General features: G+C 38.1%; 1 protein-coding gene across 37 annotated transcripts in view; it reads left to right on the top strand.

Annotated features, from left to right (window-relative positions):
- Nucleotides 1-18,134, top strand: part of CLASP1 (cytoplasmic linker associated protein 1) — a 311,687-nt gene that overhangs the window by 182,982 nt on the left and 110,571 nt on the right. For all 37 annotated transcript variants that reach the window (XM_047443792.1, XM_047443782.1, XM_006712383.2 and 34 more), the window contains 8 exons: nucleotides 3,876-3,949; nucleotides 5,288-5,380; nucleotides 6,356-6,501; nucleotides 7,506-7,641; nucleotides 8,724-8,794; nucleotides 14,632-14,691; nucleotides 15,491-15,568; nucleotides 17,361-17,528. In XM_047443792.1, coding sequence (XP_047299748.1) covers nucleotides 3,876-3,949; nucleotides 5,288-5,380; nucleotides 6,356-6,501; nucleotides 7,506-7,641; nucleotides 8,724-8,794; nucleotides 14,632-14,691; nucleotides 15,491-15,568; nucleotides 17,361-17,528 — 826 coding nt within the window. The remainder of the gene's footprint in view (nucleotides 1-3,875; nucleotides 3,950-5,287; nucleotides 5,381-6,355; nucleotides 6,502-7,505; nucleotides 7,642-8,723; nucleotides 8,795-14,631; nucleotides 14,692-15,490; nucleotides 15,569-17,360; nucleotides 17,529-18,134) is intronic.

The following is an 18,134-nucleotide window of genomic DNA, read 5'->3' as shown; positions in this document are numbered from 1 at the left end:
TGGGCCAAGTAAAAGCTGTACTCATGGTTAGCATTAAAATGCTGTCTCCTGATGGCCTCTCCTGAATTCTGAACCGGCCCTAGAATATTGGTATCTTGACCAGACCAGCATGGGACCACTCTGCCTCCTCACCCCAGCATCTGTGATAGAGGAGCTGTAGGAATGTTAATTGTGCTTATTTCTAGTTCTTTCTGATTATTTTTTTGGTGTATTTTAAAACATTTTACTTTTTGTTACTGAGTTTAAATTCTCATAACATAAAATTAGCCATTTTAAAGGTGATGTTTTCAGTGTTTCATCTACCTTGTAGCATATATCAATACTTTGTTCCTTTTAATGCCTGAACAATCTTTCTAATCTTTTTTCTTGAACTATTCTTGGGTAATTATCCGTTGCACAAACAAGGCTTAGAAAATTACTAGACTTTTAGGTCTAACGTTTAAGTTTTTAATCCATCTTGAATTAATTTTTGTATAAGGTGTAAGGAAGGGATCCAGTTTCAGCTTTCTACATATGGCTAGCCAGTTTTCCCAGCACCATTTATTAAATAGGGAATCCTTTCCCCATTGCTTGTTTTTCTCAGGTTTGTCAAAGATCAGATAGTTGTAGATATGCGGCGTTATTTCTGAGGGCTCTGTTCTGTTTCATTGATCTATATCTCTGTTTTGATACCAGTACCATGCTGTTTTGGTTACTGTAGCCCTGTAGTATAGTCTGAAGTCAGGTAGCGTGATGCCTCCAGCTTTGTTCTTTTGGCTTAGGATTGACTTGGCGATGCGGGCTCTTTTGTGGTTCCATATGAACTTTAAAGTAGTTTTTTCCAATTCTGTGAAGAAAGTCATTGGTAGCTTGATGGGGATGGCATTGAATCTATAAATTACCTTGGGCAGTATGGCCATTTTCACAATATTGATTCTTCCTACCCATGAGCATGGAATGTTCTTCCATTTCTTTGTATCCTCTTTTATTTCATTGAGCAGTGGTTTGTAGTTCTCCTTAAAGAGGTCCTTCACATCCCTTTTAAGTTGGATTCCTAGGTATTTTATTATCTTTGAAGCAATTGTGAATGGGAGTTCACTCATGATTTGGCTCTCTGTTTGTCTGTTATTGGTGTATAAGAATGCTTGTGATTTTTGTACATTGATTTTGTATCCTGAGACTTTGCTGAACTTGCTTATCAGCTTGAGGAGATTTTGGGCTGAGACAATGGGGTTTTCTAGATATACAATCATGTCATCTGCAAACAGGGACAATTTGACTTCCTCTTTTCCTAATTGAATACCCTTTATTTCCTTCTCCTGCCTAATTGCCCTGGCCAGAACTTCTAACACTGTGTTGAATAGGAGTGGTGAGAGAGGGCATCCCTGTCTTGTGCCAGTTTTCAAAGGGAATGCTTCCAGTTTTTGCCCATTCAGCATGATATTGGCTGTGGGTTTGTCATAGATAGCTCTTATGATTTTGAGATACGTCCCATCAATACCTAATTTATTGAGAGTTTTTAGCATGAAGGGTTGTCGAATTTGGAAGAAAACCTAGGCATTACCATTCAGGACATAGGCATGGGCAAGGACTTCATGTCTAAAACACCAAAAGCAATGGCAACAGAAGCCAAAATTGACAAATGGGATCTAATTAATAAGAGCTTCTGCACAGCAAAAGAAACTACCATCAGCGTGAACAGGCAACCTACAAAATGGGAGAAAATTTTCGCAACCTACTCATCTGACAAAGGGCTAATATCCAGAATCTACAATGAACTCAAACAAATTTACAAGAAAAAAACAAACAACCCCATCAAAAAGTGGGTGAAGGACATGAACAGACACTTCTCAAAAGAAGACATTTATGCAGCTAAAAAAACACATGAAAAAATGCTCACCATCACTGGCTATCAGAGAAATGCAAATCAAAACCACAATGAGATACCATCTCACACCAGTTAGGATGGCAATCATTAAAAAGTCAGGAAACGACAGGTGCTGGAGAGGATGTGGAGAAATAGGAACACTTTTACACTGTTGGTGGGACTGTAAACTAGTTCAACCATTGTGGAAGTCAGTGTGGCGATTCCTCAAGGATCTAGAACTAGAAATACCATTTGACCCAGCCATCCCATTACTGGGTATATACCCAAAGGACTATAAATCATGCTGCTGTAAAGACACATGCACACGTATGTTTATTGCGGCACTATTCACAATAGCAAAGACTTGGAACCAACCCAAATGTCCAACAATGATAGACTGGATTAAGAAAATGTGGCACATATACACCATGGAACACTATGCATCCATAAAAAAGGATGAGTTCATGTCCTTTGTAGGGACATGGATGAAATTGGAAATCATCATTCTCGGTAAACTATCGCAAGAACAAAAAACCAAACACCGCATATGCTCACTCATAGGTGGGAATTGAACAATGAGAACACATGGACACAGGAAGGGGAACATCACACTCTGGGGACTGTTGTGGGGTGGGGGGAGGGGGGAGGGATAGCTTTAGGAGATATACCTAATGCTAAATGACGAGTTAATGGGTGCAGCGCACCAGCATGGCACATGTATACATATGTAACTAACCGGCACATTGTGCACATGTACCCTAAAACTTAAAGTATAATAATAATAAAATAAAATAAAATAGAAAATTACTAGACTGGTGCTTTCCTTCCCATCTCGCGTCCATACCCCTTCCAGAAGTCCCTGCTGTGTAGATTATGCACATATCAGCCCAGTTTTCCCCTTCAGCCCTGCACTTATCCTTTTTGCATGTTGTTTAATGCCATAGTCATGAATTTCCTGATTAGCTCCTCCTCATCAGATAGCTTAGGCTCAGGGACTGTTGTTGGCCTTTGAGTCCTCTTCAGTATATGTGGGTACATGGTGTAGGGCCTTATGCAAAGGAGGCATTCAGGGCCTATCTGCTCAATGGGATCCAGTTTTTATGCTAAAACAGACACAGAGCACCACATCACAGTGAGTGACGGTCATCCTTTATAGTAGTTAGCTTTTCCACAGTGTGAGTGATCTTCAGCAAGAGTGATGACACACATTTACTGCTACCTGGGATTGTCTTTAAAGCCCCTTTCTGTCTGGATAGTTATCAGGACCCTGAACACCAGATACATGAGTGGTAAGAAGGTCTTAGAAAAGCAATCAGACTAATCCATGTAAATCATTAATGGGGGTTATGAAGAGGACTATAGATACCAATTTTTACAATGTGAAAAAAATCTGATAAAGCATCACTTGATTTTCATACATAAAGGGGAGCTCATATTAGCAAAAAGAAATACTTTCTCCAATACTTTTAATTATACAAAGCATCTTAGGGTAAGTTTGTAGGAGAAACTTGTAACTGATTCTTAAGTGAAAAAAATGACAGTTATCATGAGTTCAAGGAAATAGAAATGTTTTCAAACTAATATAAAGTTAAATAAAACTGTGAAATTATTTAGGACTTGTTTGAATATTCACAAATTTGTTATGCTGGATTCCCAGTAATAACAATTTAAGTTATTCCCTGATGAATTAAATTTTCTGCTTGATCCATTTATTAGGAATCTTTCAAAGGACTTGTATGTTAATACAATATCTAAATCCTTTAAAACCCATACCCTCCCTGCTTAAACAGGTAGTCTAAGTGACCTTAAGCTAATGTATATAGCATTGTAGAATTACTATATTTCATCTTGATATGAAGTCAGTAATGTTTGTCAATTTCATGACACTTCAAAGTTATATGAAGCCTTTTAAAAAAATGTTCTGAATCTTCCAAAATGTAATTTTGATTGTGTATGTTTAGACTTCTTCAGTGTATGTGTTATAGACGTTGTTTCATATTGTTTACATTTTTAAAATTCTTTTTTACAGCTGCAAAAGAAGGAGCTGGTGCTGTTGATGAAGAGGATTTTATTAAAGCATTTGATGATGTACCTGTAGTACAGGTCAGTGAGGATATTTGAGTATGATTACAAACAAGGGTCAACTTACTCTTCAAGTTTTATTTTTCAATTCTGCCTATGTAATGTTGTTTACTAGGTCAGGTAATTTTAACTGTCAGCACTACAGGAGATCTGAGGTGCAGACCAGAAAATGTTGGAGCAAAAGTCAAGGCCCAAGATAATCTTTCAGTAAGAACGGGAAAGACATTGGTTGCTCTATTATTAAGTTTATGGATCAGGTCACATAAAAGAGAAAGAAATAGATGACGCTAAATTAGAGAATAAAAAAAGTATATTTATTTAGGGATTTTTTTTTTTTTTAATTCATAAGTTTGAAGGATTTTGGTGTCTGAAAAGTTATGGAGAATGGTTTAATAAGAGCTTAGTTTATACCTTCTTTGATGCTTCACTTTAAGTACCTAACAGATGAAACAAAGATTATTTATAAAAATTGGGATACAGCCACAAGTTTGACTGCTTTGTGCCTTAGTATCGTCTGTTGCTGATTGAGACTAATACTTTTCCTCAGCCTACACTGACTGTCTGTGCTCTGGATTCCTGTGGCACTTACTGTCTGTTATGTACAACTCTCTTTGCCACCTTGGTTGCCATATGTGTATAAAGCAGGTAACAAGAATCTCAGTGGCCTAGGCGACATGGCGAAACCTCATCTCTATAAAAGATACAAAAATCATCCATGGTGGCTTGTGCCTATAGTTCTAGCTATTCGGGAGATTGAGGTGTGAGGCTCCCTTGAACCCGGGAGGTGGAGTTTGTTGTGAATTGAGATTGCGCCACTGCACTCCATCCTGGGCGACAGAGTGATTCCCAGTGTCTTAAACAAAAAACAATCTCGGGTTCAGGTTCATCCTTAAGTACTTGACCTGACCTTCCCAGCATACATCAAGATTGATTATACCCTGTACCTTACCTGTTTTCTAGGTAAGATGTGGGGATAAATGAGAAAGTAGATTTGAAACTGTTTAAATTTATAGGTATAGTGTCATGTTATAAATAATACTAAGTGAGAAATGACTTAGGCATCACTGGCTGTTTCCCATTAGCCTTGTTTCTCTTTGTACATGAAATCATCTGTTAAGTTTATAGTAAAGCTATGTTTGAGGCAGGGTTATTCACATATGGCAGCAAATCTTGTGGGTACACATTTGTAGTGAGAAAGATCCTCATTATAGACAAAACTGTTCAGATATTTTCTCATAGGTATTTCTTAAAAAAATAATTTCTTTTACCATACTTAATGTTCTTGACTTCATGTAATTAAGAAATAATCTGTTTATTCTGCATGTTTTTATATTGATTGTAAATTAATTTTGCTTACAGATTTATTCCAGCCGAGACCTTGAGGAATCCATAAACAAAATTAGGGAAATATTATCTGATGACAAGCATGATTGGGAGCAGAGAGTAAATGCTGTAAGCTGTTGACTTCATGTGATTACATTTTCATAAGATGTATTTAAATATCTCAAATACTTTATTGTGAAATTGGGACAGCTCTAATGAATTCTAAATAGTACATATTTTAAGTTCAAATTATCATATTTATACTTCACCTTTTTAGTAGAGTGTCTCCTTTTATTTTTATTTTGAAAACACACCAACTTACACCTTTATGAATCGCCTAGTCTTTTAACAAAGACCTGACTGTGGAATGTATGGTAATAGTCTCCACTCTCACCTTAGCAGAAATTTCATTCTGTGATTGTTTGCCTTTAAGGTGGCTTTTTTGTGGCATTTTTAGTGTATGTCTCCAATATTCTTTTCTTTCTTCTTATCACTTGCTAGAAAGTTGTGTCTCCTTTATTTTTAAAAGTAGATTAATGGAAAGTGGGCTCAGCATTAAAGTGAGGGTGTGTCTTATCTGAGAAGGCTATTTTCTACTGGTTGGCTGGCAAGAAGAGAAGTGGTACAATTGCCATTATATTGTATTTCAAATTCAGACCAGCCATTTAATGGTTCAGTGGAGGATAATAAATACTATAGGAATGCTTCTTCCTTTGATTCTTAAATAAATGGCAGTTGAAGTGGGGTGTCGCGGGGAGGTAAGCTTAGGAGGGGATTTTCACAAGCCAAAAGTTTTTAATTATTTATCATTAGTGTTGTAGGATCTATAAATACTTTAAGATATTTCAAATGTAAAACTTTTTTTGCAGAAATTATAGTATATGTGTCACAAATACTCTAGTTAAAAATTATTTAGTCTTATTTGTGATATGTAGATTTGTTTATTGTATTAGCTAATATTTAACTGGCTGAATTCTTTTGGGAAAGCTTTCTAATCAGTTGAACTTTAACAATGATCTCTTTTGTATTTGATGACTTCTTTTGTTGTGTATAGTCTGTGTTAGAATTGTTTTCTATTTTTCTGAATTTTCTCTATTCCATTAGCTAAAAAAGATTAGATCTTTACTTTTGGCTGGTGCTGCTGAGTATGATAACTTCTTTCAACATTTGCGTCTTTTGGATGGAGCCTTTAAACTCTCTGCTAAGGACCTGCGGTCTCAGGTAGTGCGGGAGGCTTGTATCACGTTGGGGTAAGGACTGCGATGCTCCATATTCTCACCATAAAATAGTGTCACCACAGAGCTTCAGAGATGTCTCCTTGAACATGTGAGCTGGGTCTCTTTAATGTAACTTCTGACTAGTCTCCAAGACCCATTCCAGTTAACACTTCTTTCAGTAGTTTTACAATACTTTTTGCTCAATTATGTGAAGTGTGACAGATTTTAAATTTTATTCAGTGACATAGCTCTGAAGTCTTTATTTCAAACTTTGAAGCAGTTATTAATATGGAAAAGTGAAATTCTATAAAATCCTGTTTCTCTGATTTTTCATTGATTTTTGCTGGCAGGCAATAGCGTGTTTATCAGAATGTTTGTTCCTAGAAGAGTACTGTAGTTATAAAGTTAAAGGCATTTACTGCAGTAAGATTTTATTCTAGCTGTACGTGTACTAGTGATCAAAGCTATTAAAACTTTGTGTTAGAATGTATGTCGGAATATCAAAGCAGCAGCAGCAGCAGGAGGAGGCATTGCAGCTGTTTTAAGTTTTGGCTGAAGTCAGATTTTGAAGCCTGAATATTTTATGTTAAGATAAAAGAAAAAAGAAAAAGGAGCCAAGGGTGCTTTTTCATATTTGTGTTTTATTAATATATAATCAGTTTGTTTGCTATTTTAAGACTAGCTGGGGCAGGTGGGCTGGTATGTGCCTGGAGTCCCAGCTACTTGGAAAGCCAAAGTGGGAGGATTGATTGAGCCCAGGAGTTCAAGTTCAACGTGGGCAAGGTAGTGAGATCCTGCCTCTAGAAAACAAACAAAAAGCTCCACAGACTAGTTGGAAATGTTTTTTTTTAAAAAAAAAAACAACAAAACTTTTGGGCTAAGAACTATTTGCCAAGTTCTTAACATGCACATCGGAAATCTCAGACCCTTGTCCTTTCTAGATAACTTTAAATGAAGGCTCTAGATGTTAAGTGGTTTATATGCTTCACTGTCTCTAAGAAAAATAACTATAGTCCAGTATCCTTTTCTTGTTTTAGGCATCTGTCATCAGTTCTGGGGAATAAGTTTGACCATGGAGCTGAAGCCATTATGCCAACTATCTTTAATTTAATTCCAAACAGTGCCAAAATTATGGCCACATCTGGTGTTGTAGCTGTTAGGTTAATTATTCGGGTAAGTATGTTATAGGCCATGCTTGAAATAAGCAAGTGGTAAATACTGATGGTTGATAAATATTAGAGGCATTTTTGTTAACATAATTATATTGAGTCATTAAATTTATTAGCATAATTATATTGGAATTTTGTATATATATCATCTTTTCCCCCTACTTAATTGTGGCATGTGAGCTTTTTATAATCCATAATGTGAATTATGGTTGTGTTATAAAGTTAATGAGGTATTGATTGTTAACTCACTATTGGTTTAAAATGTTCGAACATCCGGTGTCTGCTTCTGAGTTTATATTGTATTCTTGTTACTCGGATATTACTCTTAGTCTTACCTCCTTAGTCCCAGTCCTTCCGTTTTAGGTATTGGTGCTTGTGGTTTTACTGTTCACCCAAAAGTTTAATTAATTGCACATAAGCACGAAACAAAATGTTCTCTTTGGTTAGGTTTTCTAGGCACTTGTTTGTTTAAATTTAAATAATTATCCAAGTAATTTATACACAGGTTTTTAACAAAATCTAATAGTTCACAAAGGTTTAAAATGGTTTTCCACATTACCTCCCCACCACTTTCAAGTCATTTTTGCCCAGAGGCAGCTCTTGAAACTTTGAGGCTTGATGATGTTGTCTAAAATCTATCCAGAATATTCTTGATTATTGGTTATTTACTTTGTATTATAAGTTCTTACTGTTCTTACTTGCACTGCCTGCTTTAACTGTTAAACCCAAGGTCATTATTGGACATTTCTATTGAAATAGTATCAAAATATATTGGTCTGATGACTCCTTTCAAACCCACTCCTTTTAAACCCACTCAGATGTCTACAGCTGAGATAATTTAGACCTCATACTAATGATTGTTTTAGGCTTATCTTCATGTCATCATGTTGCCTGTTCTTAACTCTGTAAATTTTCTAATGGCTTTTGACAATATCCTGTGAATTCTTTTTTTCTTTTAAAACTCACTGACATTCTAATCTGAATATATATGTGCTATAAGTAGGTTAGTAAGGAAGTGATTCTCTTAATTTTGTTTTGTTTTTGTATTTGCAAGTGTTGACCTCTGTTTTTTGTTGTTCTTCACAGCACACACACATCCCTAGGTTAATACCTGTCATAACAAGCAACTGTACCTCTAAGTCTGTCGCAGTTAGAAGGTAAATTTTAAAGGATTTTCTCATTGTTTTTGAATTGTTTAAAAACCAAAACAAATTCCAAATCTCCTTCCATGGATAAAATTTCATGTATAACATGCTTAGTATTACTTAAAATCACTGCAGTAAATGACTTTGAGTTGAAGAATCAAGATCTAAATATTTTGGGAAATGAATGTGGACAACCTCTATTATGTTTCTGTGTGTGTGTGTGTGTGTGTGTGTGTGTGTATGTCTGTGTGAGAGAAAGTGAGTTTGGGTGTTAGTGGCAGAAGGAGAAGGGGAGAGGACTCCCTGTACATTTTTTTCCTGTGATAATCCTCCTACCTTTGTCATCGGTCTGCCCTATTCCCTGAGTAAAGGCAGTAACTGCATGCAAGAAAAAAATACCGTAAACATCAATGGCAATAGTTTTGTATTAACATAGGTGAGGGGAAAGGTATGTGTTTGCATCTTCTGTTAGCGATTTCTGGGATTCTGAATCTTCACTGTCACTTAGTTCTGTGCAGTTGTGGGAGATATACCCAGAAGACACAGGCAAATACAACCTGGGTAACTAGCTAGGGGTTTGTTCCCAAGTCCCTATCTTATATGTCCTGGCGAGCTGCCCTAAACTACGTGTGAGGAATAAAGACTGTGTTCTTTCAGCTCAGACCTGTGATTCTTGAGTGTTTTAAGAGTCTTTTAAAATCTATGAACCCTCTTTCCAGCAAGTCGTAAATGTACAGAATAGTTTTGTGTAGGTTTTCAGGGAATTCATGAATACCACTAAAGCTGTTCCAGTAGACTGTATTGGGAGTCTTATAGGATAATTACTGGCAGGCTTGGGCAACCTCTTGGCCCCATTCCCTTAGCTGTGTGTCTTGATGCTAGCCCTGTGAAAGAGTCCTTCACTCTTAAGATTTAGAGCCCAGATGACCTTTGCCAGCCGTTTACCTTTTTTCCTGGGGTGTCTTGTTGATCCTGCTGGGTTTCTATGGGTACAAGACCCTCTTAAACATGAAGCAGCTCTATATTTGTCGTTTTAAAATTTATTTTATTATTTTTAACAAATTGGCCAGAGACCGCCTTTTTAAAAATTTTCTTTCCTTTCCTTTTCTTCCTTTCCCTTCTGTTTCCTTCCCTTCCCCTTTTCTTTTTCTTCCTTTTTTTCCTTTTCTTTCCTTTTTCCTTTCCTTCCTTCCTTTCTTGCCTTTCTTCCTTTATTGCTTTCCTTTCTTTTCTTTCTTTCACCCAGGCTGGAGTGCAGCACACTGTAACCTCAAGTTCCTGGGCTTCCAAGTAGCTGGGACTATAGGCACACACCACCATGGCCCACTAATCTTTTTTCTTTTTTTACTTTTTTTTTTTTTTAGAGACGGGGGTCTCATTATGTTGCCCAAGGATGATCTCAGACTCCTGGGCTCAAGCAGTCTTCCCACCTTGATCTCCCAAAGTGCTGGGATTATAGATGTGAGCCACCATGCCCAATCTTTGTTTTTTTAATTGGCAAGTAAAAATTGTGAAGACTTATGGTGTACAACATGCTGTGTTGATAATGTGTATACATTTTGTAATGGTTAAATCAAGCTCTTTAACATGTGTATCACCTCACATACTTATTTTTTTGTGGTGAGAACACTTGAAATCTACTCTCAGCAATTTTAAAGTATATAATATGTTGTTACTAACTGTAGTCACATCACTATGATGTGCAATCGATCTCTTGAACTTACTCCTATCTACCTGACATTTTGCATGCTTTACATCTCCCCAGTCTCCCAACCCCCAGCTTCTGAGAACCACCATTCTACTTTCTGCTTCTATGAGTCCAATTTTGTTTGCTTTAGAGGTGGTACCTCACTCTGTCACCCAGGCTAGAGTGCAGTGGCACAATCATGGCTCCCTGCAATCTCTAACTCCTGGGCTCAAGTGATCCTCCCGCCTCAGTCTCCCAAGTAGCTGAGACCATAGGCGTCCGCCACCACGCCCCCAGCTAAGTTTTAAATTTTTTGTAGAGATAAGGTCTTATCATGTTGCCCAGGCTGGCCTCAACCTCCAAAGTGCTGGGATTGCAGTTGTGAGCCACTGCACTAAGCCTGAGTCGACTTTTTTGGATTCCACACTTAAGTGAGATCATGCAGTATTTGTCTTTGTATGCCTGGCTTATTTCATTTAAGATAATATTTTCCAGGTTTATCTGTGTTGTCTTAAATGACAAGATTTATTTTGTTGTTGTTAAGGCTGAATAGATTCTGTTGTATATATATGCTACATTATCTTTATCTCCTCATCTGTTGATGGATACTTAGGTTGATTCCCTATCTTGGCTATTGTGAATAGTCTTGCAATAATCATGAGAGTTCAGATATCTCTTCAACATATTGACTTCATTTTTTGGGGATATATACCTAGTAGTTGGTTTTATATCCATCTCATTAATAACTACATGAAAGACAAAAAGAGAAAAGAAGAATAATCCAGCTATCTAAAGTCACGAAAAAAGAAATTTATACCTTCCACTGAAAAAATGTAATTCCTTACTGTGTGGCTCAAGTGCGTACCCCAGGGAATGCAATCTACCCTTGACCTAGGGTTCAGCTTCTCCTGGGGTTAGAGTGGAACAGCTTTAGCTTCCCCTAGAGATGAGAATGTAAAGTTGGCATGCCAGAGGGATGATTATGAACTTCAGAACCTGACCAGCATCAGTTGAAACATTCCTCTCCCACTTACTCGTTTGACTTGTTAGGTATAAAGGTACCCCTCTGTAAGGTTTGGAGGATTCACAATCATTACGTAAAACATTTAGTGAAAGCTTAATTTGTTGCAGCTGTGGCTGTTGTTATTTTCATTTTGCTGCTGTTGTTTTCATTTCGCTATTGTTAGGTTTCCAAGAGAAATTCAGAATGTGTTTTTCCTTGCGTAAGGCAAAATTTCTCCGATAAGATGACACGGATCTTTGTTGTGGAACATTGCAAGATGTTTAGGGGATTCATCATCTTGGGCTGCCATTACAAAATACTACAGACTGGATGGCATGAACAACAGATTTATTTCTCACAGTCTAGAGCAAGCTTGTCCAACCATGCAGCACAGGACAGCTTTGAATGCCCAATACAAATTCGTAAACTTTCTTAAAACATTATGAGATTTTTTTTTAAGCTCATCTGCTATCATTAGTGTTAGTGTATTTTATTTGTGGCCCAAGACGATTATTCTTTCCCTGTGGCCCAGAGGAGCCAAAAGATTGGATACCCCTGGCCTAGAGGCTGGAAGTTCAAAGTCGGCGTGCCAGCAAGGTCAGATTCTGGTGAGGACTCTCGTCCTGGCCTGTAGACCAGTGTTTTCCTGTGTCCTCACATGGGAGAGAGGGAGAGCAGGGTGGGAAGGAGGAAAGAACAAGCTACCTGTTATCTCTTCTTATAGGGACACTAATCTCATAATGAGGGCCCCATTATCATGCCTAATCTAAACCTTGTCACTTCCCAAAGGTCCCATCTCTAAATAACCATCACATTGAGAGTAAGGACTTCAGCATATTAATTTTGGAGGGGGGGGTGGGCAGGGAGATAAAATTCGCTTCATAACATTTAGCAGTTCTGGCCTTTGGCACTAAATATGAGTAGCACCCTACAGTTATTGTGACAATAGAAATGCCGCCACCCTCACCAATTTCTGAACCACACACTCAGATTGTTATTTCTGTATTTAGCCAGTGGGTATCAGTCAGAACTGTATGTCTTAATGCTGAGAGAAGTAATAGAGACCATCTTGCCCAGTCCCTCTGCCCTCTGCCCTCAGAAAGGGAGAGGGAGCTTAAGAGAGCAGTGTAAGCAAGGCAGTGCACCTTCTTAGCTACATATTCAGCCTGTACTTAGCTTCGCTTCGTAGAATTGGTAACAAATGGATTACACACACTCTGACATTAACGTATATATAGTGGAATTAGGAGTTCAGATACAGCAGTGATTAAAGCTTGCTGATGTTTTCCCAAGAAGCTTCATAGATGGGTTAAAAATGAGCTACATTTTGAAAGATGAGTAGGAATAAGTGCAGTAAAGAGCCAAGAAAAACCCAGACTGGGAAATGCCACAGGCAAAAGGGTGAAAGTAGAATAAACATGGTCTAGATTGGGGATTGGGGCAGGAATGGGGAGGGTGATGGTGAGGAATGTGTGTGTGTGTAGTTGGTGTCTTTTCCTTTGAAAAGGCTTGCTCTACCACTCTGGCCCCACCACTGCCGGCCCTAGGACCAAGCTGCATGGCTCTCCTGTGAGCTGCTGGAGCCCCTTGCATTCTGGCAGTGTAACTGTTTGTCTCTTATGTTCTCTGGGCTGTGTCTTGGTTATCATTGGATCTCCAGCATCTAGCATGGGGTAAAGGGTCAGTAAATAATTATTTTTATTTATTTATTTTTGAGACAGGGTCTGACTTGGTTCCCTAAACTGGAGTGCAGTGGTGCAATCATAGTTCATTGCAGTCTCAAACTTCTGGGCCCAAGCAATCCACCCACCTCAGCTTCCTAAATAGCTAGGACTTTATTAGTGCATGCCACCATGCCCAACTAATTTTTTTAAAAAAATTTTTTGTAGAGACAGTGTCTTGCTTTGTTGCCTAGGCTGGTCTCAAATGCCTGGCTTCAGGTGATCCTCCTGCTTTGTCCTCCCAAAGTGCTGGGATTACAGGCGTGAGCCGCTGCTCCCAGCCTTGATTTATTGAGTGATTGTGTATGGATTATAAGTTGTGAATTGGGAAGGTTGTAGGAAAGAAAGTCTGGTCATTTCTTTAGAGAAAGATTTTACTTCTGATTTGTGCGTTCTTGAATGGGTTCCTAGGACTATTAGGATTTATTCATACAAAAATAGAAATGCTAGACTTAGGAAAAAGAAATTTTTATTTGTTTGTTTGTTTGTTTGTTTATTTGACAGAGTCTCGCTCTGTCGCCTAGGCTGGAGTGCAGTGGCACGATCTCGGCTCACTGCAACCTCTGCCTCCCGGGTTCAAGTGATTCTTCTGCCTCAGCCTCCTGAGTAGCTGGGATTACAGGCGCCCGCCACCATGCCTGGCTAATTTTTGTATTTTTAGTAGAGATGGGGTTTCACCATGTTAGCCAGGCTGGTCTTGAACTCATGACCTCAAGTGATCCGCCCGCCTTGGCCTCCTAAAGTGCTGGGATTACAGGAGTGAGCCACTGTGCCCGGCCAGAAAAAGAAAATTTTGTAGAGGTAGAACCCGAAGTGGTGATGTAATCTAAATTGTTTTTGTGCACAAATCAGACCAAGAAAAATCATAAAAGTGAAAAGGCTTAAATAGAAGGATGCTGAAACATCCTTCTATTGGTTGGTTGGAGGAAAGCAAAGTAGTTGGAGAAAATCCATTTTAAGCACTATTTAGGGCCTTAGCATGAAAATATGGAGAGCACTTAGTTTTTCAAGGTACTTTTAACTTTTTTTGTGCAAAGCATTCTCCGAAATTAATGCAAAGACCTGATTGTGTCATGTTTGTTGATCTTCTGTGCATGTGTACATTCTCTATTAACATATTACTTAGGATAGTATAAAAATGAATGACAGTGGTAAGTCCTTTCAGTGATGTTGCCATGAAGTGCAAGCTTCTGATTGGAGAGAAATGCTTGGATCCTGTCCCTGTGTCCCTGTGGCACTAATAGGTGCTTAATTACTTTCATTTGCTTTGGTTTTTAGTCAGTTCTGATTCATTCTTTATGTTCTGTTTTTCTAATCATAAAAATCAGAAGAAATGTACTAATTATAAAAAATAGTATTGGGTCACTTAAGAAAAATGCCGTTTTCATTTTCACTAAAATATGTATTAATAAGTTGTGTATTTCTTAATACTTTTTAGGCGCTGTTTTGAATTTTTAGATTTGCTTTTACAAGAATGGCAGACACATTCACTAGAACGGTGAGCATCTGATTTGAAACCATTTTTCCCTCTGAATTGAGCCTTTAGAGTGAATGCTTTGGTGAGTGGTCCAGCTGGCTTTCTGTAAGAATGGAGGAATATATGCGTTTGTTTTCATGACTACGTCTGTTGTTTTACTGATGTTGGCCACATAATATTCACAGACGCTTTTAGTGAATTTCATTGGTTGAAATACTACTATGTCCATGTGCATTCTGACAGCTGCAGAGCCAATGTAAACTGTTACTGACTCTGGCCCTGCTGCTTGACATTCCTGTCAGTTCCCATGAGGTAACAGTTTAAAGTTGCTGTTAGTAGACAAGTGTTAGATCCTTCAAGGAATTTCACTCATTTGAAAGTTTTCTTTTTCTCCCTCTGTATTTGATGTAGACAGCCTATTTAATGTTAAGGTGATTATTTCACAGTTTCCATAGAAACTAGTTCTGATGTGAAAAACACAAGCTTTTGTTGTTTGGGTTCGTAAAAGATTGAGCTATAAGTGCACATTTTTAAAAAATCAGCTTGTGTTTTTTAAAAAAAATCCCACAAGAGAATAGGGTTATCAAAGTCCTTAGGCGTGGGTAGGTTGGAGTGGCGCTAGGGTGTTGGGGCAGGATTGGGAGTTAAAGGACTGTAGGTAGGAGTGCCGTGCTTTGCCCAGCCACGTGGGAACTGACCAGCCTTGGCACAGAGGCTCCCAGCTCCATGTTGCCATTTGGAAGTTATTTCTCCCACCTGGTTTCACTTGCATCAAACCATACATTTATGATTGTTACTGCTTTCTTTTCTAAATATCTAGACACATATCAGTATTAGCTGAAACAATAAAGAAGGGAATACATGATGCTGATTCCGAAGCAAGAATAGAAGCCAGAAAGTAAGTTTTTATTGTACACCACTTTTTAAATTAACTTCTTCTATATTTCACATGAATTATAGGATTGCCTTATTAAAAACTTAAGTTACTTGAACATATTTGTTAACCATGACTTTTAAACATGACCCCCAAAAGGCCATTTTGGAATATTTCTCTCTTTTTTTAATAACATCACTCAAGCTTGTAAATAAACAGGACTGAGGGAGACAAAAGAATGCTCGTTTTTTACATTCGTCACAAATTATCACATAGCTCTGGAAGGCAGTTGTATACATGCTCAATGTATTCTTTTACTCATTAAGCCATATTGTAATCCAAAGCTGCTTTAATGATTTACCATGAAAAATCTTGGTCACAGGGAATTCTCTCCCTGCAGTCACTTCTTTGCAAGCATCTGTGGTTCCTTGGTGTGAATCATATTAAGGGGAGTTGGATCGACTAATGCCTGGGATTATCACAGTGATAACTTGTTGTTTCTGTCTCAACAAGTGAGGTACTTTTGCCATTAGGACTGAGTTTCCTCCAATTATGTGGCCATGGCCTCTGTATTCGTTACCTCCTTGGAAATTTTTTTTTTTTTTTGAGATAGAGTCTCATTTTGTTGCCCAGGCTGGAGTGCAGTGGTGCAATCTCGGCTCACTGCAAGCTCCACCTCCCAGGTTCTCGTCATTCTCCTACCTCAGCCTCCCAAGTAGCTGGGACTACAGGCGCCTGCCCTCACGCCTGGCTAATGTTTTGTATTTTTAGTAGACACATGGTTTCACCGTGTTAGCCAGGATAGTCTCGATCTCCTGACCTCGTGATCCACCCGCCTCGGCCTCCCAAAGTGCTGGAATTACAGGTGTGAGCCACTGTGTCCAGCCTTGGAAATAATTTTTGCCAGTGTGACTGTAAATACCAGAATTTTGATATTAAGACATTCTCTCTTGGGCAGTGCATTGATAACTACTGCCAGTGTTGCATCTGTGATTTTTTTTGAATTTACTCTCATAGTTGACCAACTCTCCTAATTGATATGTGCTAAAATCTAATTGTACTAGCCTGCAACGTTACGGTTTTACTTAGCTGCATTAATACATCCTGATCTAGTACTTATTGCTCTTTGACTGCCTTCACAGTTAAATTATATTTCACTTGTTTCTGAGCTTATTATAACTATGAAGTGTTTGTGCCAATTTTTTCTTTGCTAGTTTCTACCAAAATAAGTGATATAATTAATCGTTGCTAAAAACTATTAGGAATGGATTTGTTAATAATCTGTTTATGCTGTTTTTATCCTTGTATTGGACCCTCCCCACCCCCGGCCCATTTTTTCTTGGTCTTTAATTATAATGTGATACTGATTTCAAGTAGCTCTGAACATTTTAAAATTTTTCTTTTGCACATGTTACCTAAGGCAATTTTAAATACTTTGTGTCAAGAGATGTAAAATTGCATGTATAATAGCTGCCATTTTAATGAGCCTATCCTGTGTTCTAGGTATGGTCTTAGATGTTTAGCTCCACCTTCCCTAAGATTCCCCAGTTTTGCAAGTTAGGCTTTTTAATTCCCATGTTATAAATGAGGCTGAGGTTGAGAGAGGATAAGTGACTTGCCCATAGTCTAAAAGACAGTAAAATTGTGAGGCCAGGATTCGTACCAGGTCTCCTTTGTTTACCCTCTCCTCCTGCTACTATTAGCGGCTAAACTGAGGCTTCCAGTCCTTGAAAATCTTCTGTGGTGTACTCCAGAGTTCAGCAAAAGACCTGTTTGGATCCTTGAATTAGACCAGGATTTTGTGTGTTTCCTCTAGATGTTACTGGGGTTTCCACAGTCACTTCAGCAGAGAAGCAGAGCACTTGTACCACACCTTGGAGTCCTCCTACCAGAAAGCCCTGCAGTCCCACCTGAAGAACTCAGACAGCATAGTGTCTCTGCCTCAGTCAGACCGCTCATCTTCCAGCTCTCAAGAGAGTCTAAAGTAAGAGATTCATCTTTGCTTATCATTCATGTGAGAATTTGTATTTAAAAGTTTGTCACATGAAAACACAAATTCTAGCTATGTTTTTACATGGGTGCTTGTTAAAACGCCCCCTTACTTGAGGTAGATCCTGGTGCAAAGTAAGATACCACCATGGAGTGGTGAGAAATAGGTTGCTTTGGTCTCTACCGTACTGTTTTTCAGTTAAATGTATACGGCAGTCCTAGAATACAGTTTTAGAATAACATAAGTGAATTATGGAGTAGTGTGAACTATACACACCAGTGCTTCAGAGTCTTCTCAGAGGATGTAAGTGTGAACCTGGAGACAAGTTTGGAAATGGAGGTCATTCAAACTCTGTGACTTAATATATTATCATCTCTGCTCTGTGTTTCTAATTTCTGTCTGTAGTTACTATTTCACTCTCTGTATTTGAAAGGCAGTCCAAAATAGATTGCTAAAGCTTCGTTGGGAATCAGGGAGTTTACAACATTGTGGTTCACATTGCCCAAAAAATTCTGAAAACTCTGAAATAATTCTTCATTGTAATAATTTCCTGTTGTAGTTTGTATTTGTATTAATTCAGGTACAGTACATGTAATAAAT

The sequence above is a fragment of the Homo sapiens genome, chromosome 2 (assembly GCF_000001405.40).
Source record: "Homo sapiens chromosome 2, GRCh38.p14 Primary Assembly".
In the NCBI taxonomy this organism is placed as follows: domain Eukaryota; kingdom Metazoa; phylum Chordata; class Mammalia; order Primates; family Hominidae; genus Homo; species Homo sapiens.
The sequence above is the reverse complement of the archived record's forward strand: the minus strand, read 5'-3'. Positions and strand labels throughout refer to the sequence as shown.